Source organism: Homo sapiens, chromosome 8, assembly GCF_000001405.40.
Source record: "Homo sapiens chromosome 8, GRCh38.p14 Primary Assembly".
NCBI classification, from domain to species: Eukaryota; Metazoa; Chordata; class Mammalia; order Primates; family Hominidae; genus Homo; species Homo sapiens.
Genome location: NC_000008.11, coordinates 11,393,554 through 11,407,160, shown reverse-complemented (window position 1 = coordinate 11,407,160; position 13,607 = coordinate 11,393,554). Strand labels below are relative to the sequence as shown.

The 13,607-nt window shown below is 38.6% G+C and overlaps 1 long non-coding RNA gene across 1 annotated transcript in view; it reads right to left on the bottom strand.

The window, feature by feature from the left end:
- Positions 1-13,607, bottom strand: part of FAM167A-AS1 (FAM167A antisense RNA 1) — a 70,256-nt gene that overhangs the window by 31,497 nt on the left and 25,152 nt on the right. Inside the window, exon 3 of the long non-coding RNA NR_026814.1 lies at positions 5,996-6,095. This is a non-coding gene — a long non-coding RNA (FAM167A antisense RNA 1). The remainder of the gene's footprint in view (positions 1-5,995; positions 6,096-13,607) is intronic.

Genomic DNA, 13,607 nt, shown 5'->3' with positions numbered 1-13,607 from the left:
AGAAGAAACGCAAATTCTAAAAATCAGAGTCCCTCTCCTCCTCCAAAGGAATGCAGCTCCTCACCAGCAACGGAACAAAGCTGGACGGAGAATGACTTTGACGAGTTGAGAGAGGAAGGCTTCACAAGATCAAACTACTCTGAGCTAAAGGAGGAAGTTCAAACTAATGGCAAAAAAGTTAAAAACTTTGAAAAAAAATTAGACAAATGGATAACTAGAATAACCAATGCAGAAAAGTCCTTAAAGGACCTGATGGAGCTGAAAACCACGGCACGAGAACTACGTGACGAATGCACAAGCCTCAGTAGCCAATGCGATCAACTGGAAGAAAGGCTATCAGTGATGGAAGATGAAATGAATGAAATGAAGCGAGAAAAGAAGTTTAGAGAAAAAAGAATAAAAAGAAATGAACAAAGCCTCCAAGAAATATGGGACTATGTGAAAAGACCAAATCTACGTCTGACTGGTGTACCTGAAAGTGACAGGGAGAATAGAACCAAGTTGGAAAACACTCTGCAGGATACTATCCAGGAGAACTTCCCCAGTCTAGCAAGGCAGGCCAACCTTAAAATTCAAGAAATACAGAGAATGCCACAAAGATACTCCTCGAGAAGAGCAACTCCAAGACACATAATTGTCAGATTCACCAAGGTTGAAATGATGGAAAAAATGTTAAGGGCAGCCAGAGAGAAAGGTCAGGTTACCCACAAGGGGAAGCCCATCAGACTAACAGCAGATCTCTCGGCAGAAACTCTACAAGCCAGAAGAGAGTGGGGGCCAATATTCAACATTCTTAAAGAAAAGAATTTTCAACCCAGAATTTCATATCCAGCCAAACTAAGCTTCATAAGTGAAGGAGAAATAAAATACTTTACAGACAAGCAAATGCTGAGAGATTTTGTTACCACCAGGCCTGCCCTAAAAGAGCTCCTGAAGGAAACACTAAACATGGAAAGGAACAACCAGTACCAGCCACTGCAAAAACATGCCAAATTGTAAAGACCATCAAGGCTAGGAAGAAACTGCATCAACTAACGAGCAAAATATCCAGCTAACATCATGATGACAGGATCAAATTCACACATAACAATACTAACCTTAAATGTAAATGGGTTAAATACTCCAATTAAAAGGCACAGACTGGCAAATTGGATAAAGAGTCAAGACCCATCAGTGTGCTGTATTCAAGAAACCCATCTCATGTGCAGAGACACACATAGGCTCAAAATAAAGGGATGGAGGAAGATCTACCAAGCAAATGGAAAACAAAAAAAGGCAGGGGTTGCAATCCTAGTCTCGGATAAAACAGACTTTAAACCAACGAAGATCAAAGGAGACAAAGAAGACCATTACATAATGGGAAAGGGATCAATTCAACAAGAAGAACTAACTGTCCTAAATATATATGCACCCAATACAGGAGCACCCAGATTCATAAAGCAAGTCCTTAGTGACCTACAAAGAGACTTAGACTCCCACACATTAATAATGGGAGACTTTAACACCCCACTGTCAACATTAGACAGATCAACAAGACAGAAAGTTAACTACGAAATCCAGGAACTGAACTCAGCTCTGCACCAAGCAGACCTAATAGACATCTACAGAACTCTCTACCCCAAATCAACAGAATATACATTTTTTTCAGCACCACACCACACCTATTCCAAAATTGACCACATAGTTGGAAGTAAAGCTCTCCTCAGGAAGTGTAAAAGAACAGAAATTATAACAAACTGTCTATCAGACCACAGTGCAATCAAGCTAGAACTCAGGATTAAGAAACGCACTCAAAAGCGCTCAACTACATGGAAACTGAACAACCTGCTCCTGAATGACTACTGGAGACATAACGAAATGAAGGCAGAAATAAAGATGTTCTTTGAAACCAACGAGAACAAAGACACAACATACCAGAATGTCTGGGACACATTCAAAGCAGTGTGTAGAGGGAAATTTATAGCACTAAATGCCCACAAGAGAAAGCAGGAAAGATCTAAAATTGACACCCTAACATCACAATTAAAAGAACTAGAGAAGCAAGAGCAAACACATTCAAAAGCTAGCAGAAGGCAAGAAATAACTAATATCAGAGCAGAACTGAAGGAAATGGAGACACAAAAAACCCTTCAAAAAATTAATGAATCCAGGAGCTGGTTTTTTGAAAAGATCAACAAAATTGATAGACCACTAGCAAGACTAATAAAGAAGAAAAGAGAGAAGAATCAAATAGACGCAATACAAAATGACAAAGGGGATATCACCACCGATCTCACAGAAGTACAAACTACCATCAGACAATACTATAAACAGCTCTACGCAAATAAACTAGAAAATCTAGAAGAAATGGATAAACTCCTTGACACATACACTCTCCCAAGACTAAACCAGGAAGAAGTTGAATCTCTGAATAGGCCAATAACAAGCTCTGAAATTGAAGCAATAATTAATAGCTTACCAACCAAAAAGAGTCCAGGACCAGATGAATTCACAGCCGAATTCTACCAGAAGTACAAGGAGGAGCTGGTACCATTCCTTCTGAAACTATTCCAATCAGTAGAAAAAGAGGGAATCCTCCCTAACTCATTTTATGAGGCCAGCATCATCCTGATACCAAAGCCTGGCAGAGACACAACAAAAAAAGAGAATTTTAGACCCATATCCTTGATGAACATTGATGCAAAAATCCTCAATGAAATACTGGCAAACCGAATCCAGCAGCACATCAAAAAGCTTATCCACCATGATCAAGTGGGCTTCATCCCTGGGATGCAAGGCTGGTTCAACATACGAAAATCAATAAATGTAATCCAGCATATAAACAAAACCAAAGACAAAAACCACATGATTATCTCAATAGGTGCAGAAAAGGGCTTTGACAAAATTCAACAACGCTTCATGCTAAAAACTCTCAATAAATTAGGTATTGTTGGGACGTATCTCAAAATAATAAGAGCTATCTATGACAAACCCACAGCCAATATCATACTGAATGGACAAAAACTGGAAGCATTCCCTTTGAAAACTGGCACAAGACAGGGATGCCCTCTCTCACCACTCCTATTCAACATAGTGTTGGAAGTTCTGGCCAGGGCAATCAGGCAGGAGAAGGAAATAAAGGGCATTCAATTAGGAAAAGAGGAAGTCAAATTGTCCCTGTTTGCAGATGACATGATTGTATATCTAGACAACCCCATCGTCTCAGCCCAAAATCTCAAGCTGACAGGCAACTTCAGCAAAGTCTCAGGATCCAAAATCAGTGTGCAAAAATCACAAGCATTCTTATACACCAATAACAGACAAACAGAGAGCCAAATCATGAGTGAACTCCCATTCACAATTGCTTCAAAGAGAATAAAATACCTAGGAATCCAACTTACAAGGGATGTGAATGACCTCTTCAAGGAGAACTACAAACCTCTGCTCAATGAAATAAAAGAGGATACAAACAAATGGAAGAACATTCAATGCTCATGGGTGGGAAGAATCAATATCGTGAAAATGGCCATACTGCCCAAGGTAATTTATAGATTCAATGCCATCCCCATCAAGTTACCAATGACTTTCTTCACAGAATTGGAAAAAACTACTTTAAAGTTCATATGGAACCAAAAAAGAGCCTGGATTGCCAAGTCAATCCTAAGCCAAAAGAACAAAGCTGGAGGCATCACACTACCTGACTTCAAACTATACTACAAGGCTACAGTCACCAAAACAGCATGGTACTGGTACCAAAACAGAGATATAGACCAATGGAACAGAACAGAGCCCTCAGAAATAATGCCGCTTATCTACAACCATCTGATCTTTGACAAACATGACAAAAACAAGCAATGGGGATTCCCTATTTAATAAATGGTGCTGGGAAAACTGGCTAGCCATATGTAGAAAGCTGAAACTGGATCCCTTCCTTACACCTTATACAAAAATTAATTCAAGATGGATTAAAGACTTACATGTTAGACTTAAAACCATAAAAATCCTAGAAAAAACCTAGGCAATACCATTCAGGACATAGGCATGGGCAAGGACTTCATGTCTAAAACACCAAAAGCAATGGCAACAAAAGCCAAAATTGACAAATGGGATCTAATTAAACTCAAGAGCTTCTGCACAGCAAAAGAAACCACCATCAGAGTGAACAGGCAACCCACAGAATGGGAGAAAATTTTCACAACCTACTCATCTGACAAAGGGCTAATATCCAGAATCTACAATGAACTCAAACAAATTTACAAGAAGAAAACAAACGACCCCATCAAAAAGTGGGTGAGGCCGGGCGCGGTGGCTCACGCCTGTAATCCCAGCACTTTGGGAGGCCGAGGCGGGTGGATCATGAGGTCAGGAGATCGAGACCATCCTGGCTAACAAGGTGAAACCCCGTCTTTACTAAAAATACAAAAAAATTAGCCGGGCACGGTGGCGGGCACCTGTAGTCCCAGCTACTCGGGAGGCTGAGGCAGGAGAATGGCGTGAACCCGGGAAGCGGAGCTTGCAGTGAGCCGAGATCGCGCCACTGCAGTCCGCAGTCCGGCCTGGGCGACAGAGCGAGACTCCGTCTCAAAAAAAAAAAAGTGGGTGAAGGATATTAACAGACACTTCTCAAAAGAAGACATTTATGCAGCCAAAAAACACATGAAAAAATGCTCATCATCACTGGCCATCAGAGAAATGCAAATCAAAACCACAATGAGATACCATCTCACACCAGTTAGAATGGCGATCATTAACAAGTCAGGAAACAACAGGTGCTGGAGAGGATGCAGAGAAATAGGAACACTTTTTGTTTACACTGTTGGTGGCACTGTAAACTAGTTCAACCATTGTGGAAGTCAGTGTGGCGACTCCCCAGGGATCTAGAACTAGAAATACCACTTGACCCAGCCATCCCATTACTGGGTATATACCCAAAGGATTAGAAATCATGCTGCTATAAAGACACATGCACACATATGTTTATTGTGGCACTATTCACAATAGCAAAGACTTGGAACCAACCCAAATGTCCAACAATGATAGACTGGATTAAGAAAATGTGGCACATATACACCATGGAATACTATGCAGCCATAAAAAATGGTGAGTTCATGTCCTTTGTAGGGACATGGATGAAGCTGGAAACCATCATTCTCAGCCAACTATGGCAAGGACCAAAAACCAAACACTGCATGTTCTCACTCATAGGTGGGAATTGAACAATGAGAACACATGGACACAGGAAGGGGAACATCACACACCGGGGACTGTTGTGGGGTGGGGGGAGGGGGGAGGGATAGCATTAGGAGATATACCTAATGTTAAATGACGAGTTACTGGGTTCAGCACACCAACATGGCACATGTATACATATGTAACAAATCTGCACGTTGTGCACATGGACCCTAAAACTTAAAGTATAATTTAAAAAAATACTATCACATTAGCAACACCTTAATTCTGGAGGGAACACATTCAAACCATAGCAAATGCAAATCATCAAATTTAACTAAAGTAAAAATAGAAAATCCAAGTATTCCTATAGATGCTATAGGAATTAAGTTTCTAATTAAAAGCCTCCCCACAAAGAAAACTCTAGGTCCAACTGGTCTCATTGGTGAATGAAAAGAATACAAATTCTATTCAAACTCTTAGAGGAAGAAGGAACCATTTTCAACTTATTTTATGAGGTCTTCATTACCCCAATAACAAAACTAGACAAAGAAAAGTACAGGTCAATATCTCTCATGAATAAAAATAATAGTAAGTTGACTCTAGCAATATATAGAAAATGGAGTTTATCTCAGGTATTGAAGGTTGGCTACCATTTGAAAATCAACATAGTTCCCCATAACACTATAAAAAATTATCTCCATAGATGTAGAAAAAAAATTAAAAAGATTCTGAAAACATTCCCATTGATGTTTAAAAAAACTCTTAGCAAACTAAGAGTAGAAGACATCTTTAACCTAATAAATAAATGAATAAATGTGTAAAAAATCCAGAGCTAACATCATACCTAATGGCAGAAGACTGAATGTTTTCACCTCCTGTTTAGGAACAAAGCAAGGATGCCCAGTCTCGTAACTTCTCTTCATCAAGGAACTGGAAATCCCAACCTGTGTAATGAGGCAAGAAAAAGAAAAAACAGGCAGAAAGATTAAAAAGTAAAAAGCAAAACTCTTTGTTGCCAACTACATGACCATGTATGTAGGAAAACCCTAGGGAATCCCCCAAAAAAGCTCTTAGAACTAGTGAGGGTGATGCTGTCTCAGGTTGCAAAGTCAATACAGAAAAATCTTATATTTCTATGTATTCACAATGTCAGTGTAAGAAATCGAATTTTTTTAAAAATAGCACCCAAAAATATGAAATAATTAGAGGTAAATCTAACAAAATATGTGTAAGACCTAAATTGTTGAGAGAAACTAAAGAGGCAACATAAATGGAGAGACATACCATTTCCATGAATTGGAAGACTTAATATCCCTAATTAATCTATAGATAGAATACAATTCCAGTCAAAATCCCAGTAATTTTTTTTTTAAGATCTCTCTGTGCTCCTTATTAGATCCTGCTTCTACTATGGGAACTTCTCAGTCAACTGAAACTCCTCTTCTCAAACCCCTGCTGACTAGATACTCTACCTACCTACCTACCTACCTTCCTTCCTTCCTCTCTTTCTTTCTTTCCTTTTGACACAGGGTCTCACTCTGTCACCCAGGATAGAGTGCAGTGGCACAATCTTGGCTCACTGAAGCCTTGACCTCCTGGGTTCAAGCAATCCTCCCACCTCAGCCTTCTGAGTAGCTGGGACCACAGGTGTGTGCCACCACACCCAGTTAATATTTTTTTAAAAAGATTTTAGAGATGGGGTTTTATTATGTTGCCCAGACTGGTCTCAAACTCCTGGGCTAAAGTGATCCACCCACCCACCTCAGCCTCCAAAAGTGCTGGGATGACAGGCCTGAGCCACCATTTCCTTTCTTTTTGGCATGATTTTTGCAAACAATATTATGGAACTTCGTTGGCTTCTTTATGAAGCTTTAGATCTCCCCAAACTTGCTCCTCTAAGACCTATTCTTTCCATTTACTTCTACTCCTCCTTCCTCCTTGTGCCACCTTTGATCTTTCATCCAGTTACCTTGAATCCTTGATATATCTCCTTCAAGCCTTGACTTCCTACATTTGGTGGTCAATGAATAGAAAATTACTGCGAGAAAATGTCAGGGGTATGCTGGACTCTGGTTTCTATGGCCAAACTTTAGTTGAGCTTCTGAACCTTCTCCAAGGCTCATCTGTGTACTTTCTTATTAAAAAAAAATATCCTGTAGTGAATTACTATTTTATGTTATAAAATCCTGTAGTAAGTTGTATGTTGCTTCATTATCCTTTTTTGGCGTTTTTTGTGTTTTTGTTTTGTTTTGTTTTTTTAAGTGATGTGGTCTCCTGCTAGGCTGGCCCCAAAATTCCTGAGCTCAAACAATGCTCTCCCACTTCAGCCTCCCAAGTAGCTGGGACTACAAGCGTGCTTCACTGTACCTGGCTTTACCATCTATTTTGAATCTTCTTCTGTGTCTCATCTGACTGACCCAGACTCTCTTACTGGCCAGGGCTCTTCTGCAAACTGTTTATTTTGGTGGGGATAAACTGGATATAGGTCAGCTGAGAGCCACAAGAATGTCTGCTAGTATAAACAAATTTGCTGTGAGAGGGACCCTTGGCCACAGGTGGAATACTTAGGCATTAAGCCATCTGCCAGAATAAATAAGTATCCCATGAAAGGCAGACTGTAAAAACCCACCACCCCCTCCCCTGGAGACCCATCAGGGCAGGGCTAGAATTTATATCTAGAGAAACCTCAAGATAAAATTAGAGGAAAACGCAACAAATCCAGTTTTAACAAGAACCCTGGCAAGTCAGTTTAACAAGAACTGCCACCCTTGATACCTGATCACGTTCCTCACCCTCCATCCTTCTGTCCACCCCTGCCAGACCTTTTCCCTCCAACTCCAGCCCCGTGATCACTGGAACTTTAGGCCACTACCCTCCATAGAGGACTCTTGCTGGACTCCAGGTCGACTAAAAAACCTGAGGCTGGCCGGGCGAGGTGGCTCACGCCTGTAATCCCAGCACTTTGGGAGGCCAAGGCGGGCGGATCACAAGGTCAGGAGATCGAGACCACAGTGAAACCTCGTCTCTACTAAAAATACAAAAAATTAGCCAGGCGCGGTGACACCCTCCTGTAGTCCCAGCTACTCGGGAGGCTGAGACAGGAGAATGGCATGAACTCGGGAGGCGGAGCTTGCAGTGAGCTGAGATGGCACCACTGCACTCCATCCTGGGCGACAGAGCGAGACTCCGTCTCCAAAAAAAAAAAAAAAAAAAAAAAAACCTGAGGCTGAAAAGAGGAGAAATGGTTACTGGGAAACAAGAAATGGATGTTTCGTCCACTCATTTGGACTTTGGAAACATTTAGACAACTGCTAAATATCTCCTCAGTCACTAGCCTAAAATTTAGTCCACAGCCTCTATAAGAAAAACCTCTGAAAATAGGCAAATACGCTCCCAAATTCCTTTTTTGGAAGAAAAAAAAAAAACCCTTGCATTATTTTTCTGTGCCTTTGAGATGATTCCCTATCCTGTCTTCTCTAAAACCTGAGAACTATCATTTGGAAATACAAACTTCAGGGAAATGACTGTCATGTTTTTTAAAGGAACTATTTGGGAATTGGGCAAATAAAAATCTCAAGTCTTTTCCACAAACGTTGGTAAAAAAGCTCTTGCCATGTAAGCAGGTAAACTTAACTTCTCCCATCTTTGTCAGAAACACAATTCGGACAAAAATATAAATTGGAAATAAATCAATGAGTTTGTACTACTATGTTTTACTGACTTGTGACTAAATGTTAGAATGAAAGCTGTATTTGTCTGTAAGTTTATGTATGTATATTTGTATATTATGTATATTTAATATTTTTCCACCTCCGGATAGTGTTACTAAATTAATTTATAAAACCCTTAAAGGAGCTCTATTCAAATTGGCTTAGAGATAAACGAGTGCTCAGATAAATTAGGCATTCCTAAAACTCTCAGACATAGACTCTCATCCAAATTTTTTTTTTAAAAAATCACATGACTTGGCTAAGTCTTTGGTAAATAAAGCTAGCTTTTAAATTATTGGTAAAATAAAAGTAGGGGTATCTTCAGAATTGTAAGTGTGAAATATAATTCAGATACACATTTTTCCCTGAGTTTGCTGGCCACACAGGTTTGTGTTTTCCCTGCTTGACGTTTAAAAACATAAAACTAAAAACCCAACCTAAGAGCAGAACACACAGTAAAAATAAATTGCTTGACACATATCATTCATGAAAGTAAAAACATAGATAGATAGATAGATAGATAGATAGATAGATAGATAGATAGATAGATAGAGAATGAATTGTTTAGCTTTTTAGTTCTTTGCCTCTGTGATATTTTTGATACCTGATTTGTAAACAAAAATGAAATAAGATGATGGCTTTAAGTTCTTATAAAAAATGCCCATGAGACATCCAAGAATAATTGTTAAAAACACGTGAATTAAATAATGTACAAGTGACCTAAAAGTATATACATGAACTTTTCAATAATAATTATGTTTTATAAAACAGGTCTACTTAAAAATAGTTTCAGAAAACTTTTTTGGTAACTTGCAACCTTAAAGCTATGCTAAATTAAATTAAGTAATAAATACTCATTACATATCTGAGTCATTTCTTTTTCTTTTTTTTTCCCCCCGAGACTGAGTCTCACTGTTGCCCAAGCTGGAGTGCAATAATGCGATCTCGGCTCACTACAACCTCTGCCTTCTGGGTTCAAGTGATTCTCCTGCCTCAGCCTCCTGAGTAGCTGAGATTATAGGTGTGCGCTACCACACCCAGCTAATTTTTGTACTTTTAGTAGACACGGGGTTTCACCATGTTGGTCAGGGTGGTCTCAAACTCCTGACCTCATGATCCACCCGCCTGGGCCTCCCAAAGTGCTGGGATAACAGGTGTGAGCCACCGTGCCTGGCCATATCTGAGTCATTTCTAAGTCACTTAAAACATTGAAACATTAATTACTAAGCATAAATTTAAGTTTATATACATTGGCATTTTGTTTTTTATATGGTATAGAGAAGACAAAATTTGGATCTGTTAATAGACATGAAAAATTGTACTATGGAGAAGCACATGATTTTTAGAAATTATGGCTTTAATCTATGGAATGTGATAAACTACAATTGCTGAAGATTAAAATTCTAATTAATATATGTAATTAAAACTACTAGAAATAATAAGGGAAACAATCCTGTATGCAAAATACACGAGGAAAGCAAGATGTATTTTTGGTAAGGAAAATTGTAAGGCATGAAACTGTATTTTCTGTTAATGGAAAAAGGAGTAGTTAATTCTGTACGAAACTATGATGAGCAGTTGTTCCAGAATAAGAAAAAGAAAAATGCAGGAAGATAAATAAAGATCAATTTTTAAAAATATTTTAAAAGGGTTGTGGAAAAAGAATCTTTGGGGGAAAATGTTATGTGGTCAAAGCTGGCTAAAATGAGCTTAATTTTATTTATAAGGTTTTCTTACAATTAGCTTCCATATTACTAATACGATGATGCAAAACTAGAATTTCGTCCTCTTTGTCAAAATGGCCAAGTTTTCTTACTGTATCAGTCTGAGAATGTGAAGATTTTTCTTTATCGTTTAAGTTACTGTACTAGGACACAAAGATTTTTTTACAAAAATGATTTCTTGTGCTTCACGTTGTTTTCTATCAGGTCTTTGATTACTTAAGAAAAGCAAGGCCAGGTGCAGTGGCTCACGCCTGTAATCTCAGCACTTCGGGAGGCCAAGGTGGGCGGATTGCTTGAGGTCAGGAGTTCAAGACCAGCCTGGGCAACATGGCAAAACGTCATCTCTACAAAAAATAGAAAAAAATAGCCAGGTGTGGTGGTATGTGCCTGTAGTCCCTGTTACTCAGGAGGCTGAGAGGGGAGGATCAGCTGAGCCCAAGGAGGTCAAAGCTGTAGTGAGCCACGATCATGCTAGTGCACTCCAGACTAGGTGATGAAATGAGATCCTGTCTCAAAAAAAAAAAAAAAAAAAAAAAAAAAAAAAAAAAAAAAAAAAAGAAGAAAAGAAAAATGAGTCTTCTCAATAATAAAGGAGCTGATTTATTTTTTACAATTCTGTAACCTTCTGTATTTGTCTTTACAATTTTTTGTCATTTTGGTATTGTTTTATAGTGATCTGTGATTCTCTTCAAACAAATGTCCTAAACCTTTCAACGTCTTTAACAACTTCCGAACCAAATCAAATTATAAATTAAATGTTTTTGACCTCAAACTAATTTTGGAACATTTCAGAAGGCCTCTGGAAAGTTCCATAGGATTTGTCTCTCACCTTGTAAAAAAGAGCGATTAAACTAATTAGGCTTACAGGATATGTTAAATTATATGAGAAACATCATCAAATAATAGGTGATGCTAAACCTTTATGTTATGTTTGTGGATATGATATTGATACAAGTGTTCCAGAAATTATACATAATTCCTAGAAATCTGATATGTCCTAGTATAATGCTATCAGTCATAATTTTAGTTATTGTATTAAAATGCAATATGCCACAGAAATAACCACATTTCTTTGACAATTTCATCATTATGATGGTGAACTCTCATCAAATCTTTAACCATGGCCATTGAATGTCTTTTTTCATCCACAGGCAGTTATTGTTTTACTTTGATTCTTCTCTGAAAGCATTTGTAATCAGCTACAGCCCAAAATTGCTTCTTCAAGGAGATTCATAAAAAAGGCTCTACTCTGCAATAAAGGTTTCTGATAACTTTAAGATCACACCATTGGATGGGGTACAAATTTCTAGAACTCTTATGAAGAAACTGGTGGTTTCATGAAACTGCTAACCAAGATCAAGAATATCAACTACATGAGACTACATGAAATGAAGGGGATAATTTTTATGACTTTTATTTGAAACGTTTCTTCTTTAAATATTTTGTTTTCCAGATTTAAGGAAAGCTTTTTTTCTTTTAAGCTACCTATAACTTACAGCAATTTAGTATATCGTTAACAAAATTAGAACATTTCGTTTTTTTTCTTCCTCCCTGATCCCTCCAGAATTTAGAAACTATTTATGAGTACTCTTATTTTTATGACAATTGTAGTTACTTGCACAAGTTTAGTAAGTATATTCTCCTTGAAACAGGACAAAAGTGGAAACACTGATTATATGACCAAGGCTTTGACTGGAATATTATATTTTCAGACATGACCAGACAGTTTTAAGGAACTAAAACCAGTAAAGTTTATTTACTTTACTGGAACCAGTAAAGCCCCCATTGGAAAAACTGGCCTGGCTTAAAAGAGTTTCTAACCTTACAAGTGAGTAAGTAATGTCACTTTCTGACAGGCCCAGGAACTGTAGAATATTTGGGGGATCCTGAGAAGAAAGGAATTCACCCAGATCTGTAGGTATTGCAGGCAAAGTCTGATGGCAAGTTAGTGGCCTGGCTTCTGGCCTCAAGAGGCTATTAAAAGTCTAACTTGAGGTTCCTTATCAAAAGTTCCAGTAAAGCAAATTTTGAAAAAGCCTATATAGTCAATCACTATTGTTGCGGCACTTGCACAAATAATCATTACTTTTGCAAACATTACTTTGCGAACAAATTAGTCTTACTTTGATAATCTTTGGTAGAAATGGAAATGACTATAGAAAGAAAAATATTTCAGAAGAAAACTATATGCACTCGTTATTAGATTCCAGCTCATTGTTTTTGAGGTTTTTGTTACTCACCTACAATCTGGACTGGATCCTGAATTCTTCTCGTTTCCAGAAATGTCTGGCTACAGGTCTCCAAACTAATATTTTTCTCCCACCCTTCTGGTTTGGAATCACTGAAATGAGAACTGCTCTATTCCTGAAGCCCTGCGAACGAAAACTGGATGACTTGACACAAGCCGTAGAGAAAGCACAGCAACTTATGTATGCGTGGTCCTCACGCCTGCTGCTATATGGACTACTCAGAAACGCCCCTGGAACACCTGATGCAAACTGTAAAGTGGGGAAACCTGTCAAACTGCCACGGCCTGCTCCCACCCCAGCTGAAGATGCTTTCAGCCAAAACCCAGAAATCTTCTCACCTGGCTGCTTTCTGAGCTTAAAAACCGAGTTTCTAGTTTATTCTAATTACTAACATTGGTTTTTCTTTTGTTCTCATAGAAATGCCTCTCGTGAAATACTCGCGCCATATGGATGTCTAACTTTGGTGGCAGCCCACCTGTAACACTGCTGCCCGAAATAAGATGCAACTGTTGACAGTTTAGCTAGACTGACTGATGCTTGGGACTCAGAGACAGGTTCGGTGGTGTAGGAGACAATCCACCGACCCAACTTCTAGATTGTTAAACTTGTCATGGAGCGGAAATACAAATCTAGTGTTTGATTTGCTCAGATATGCACTTTTAAAGCTCTGAAAAGATGCATGAGAAACTAGAATAAAGTTTACCTAGGGAGGTGTGGGAACAGGGCAGATGGAGGCCAAGGGTGAAAGTGATATTGGTCACATATCCTTTATT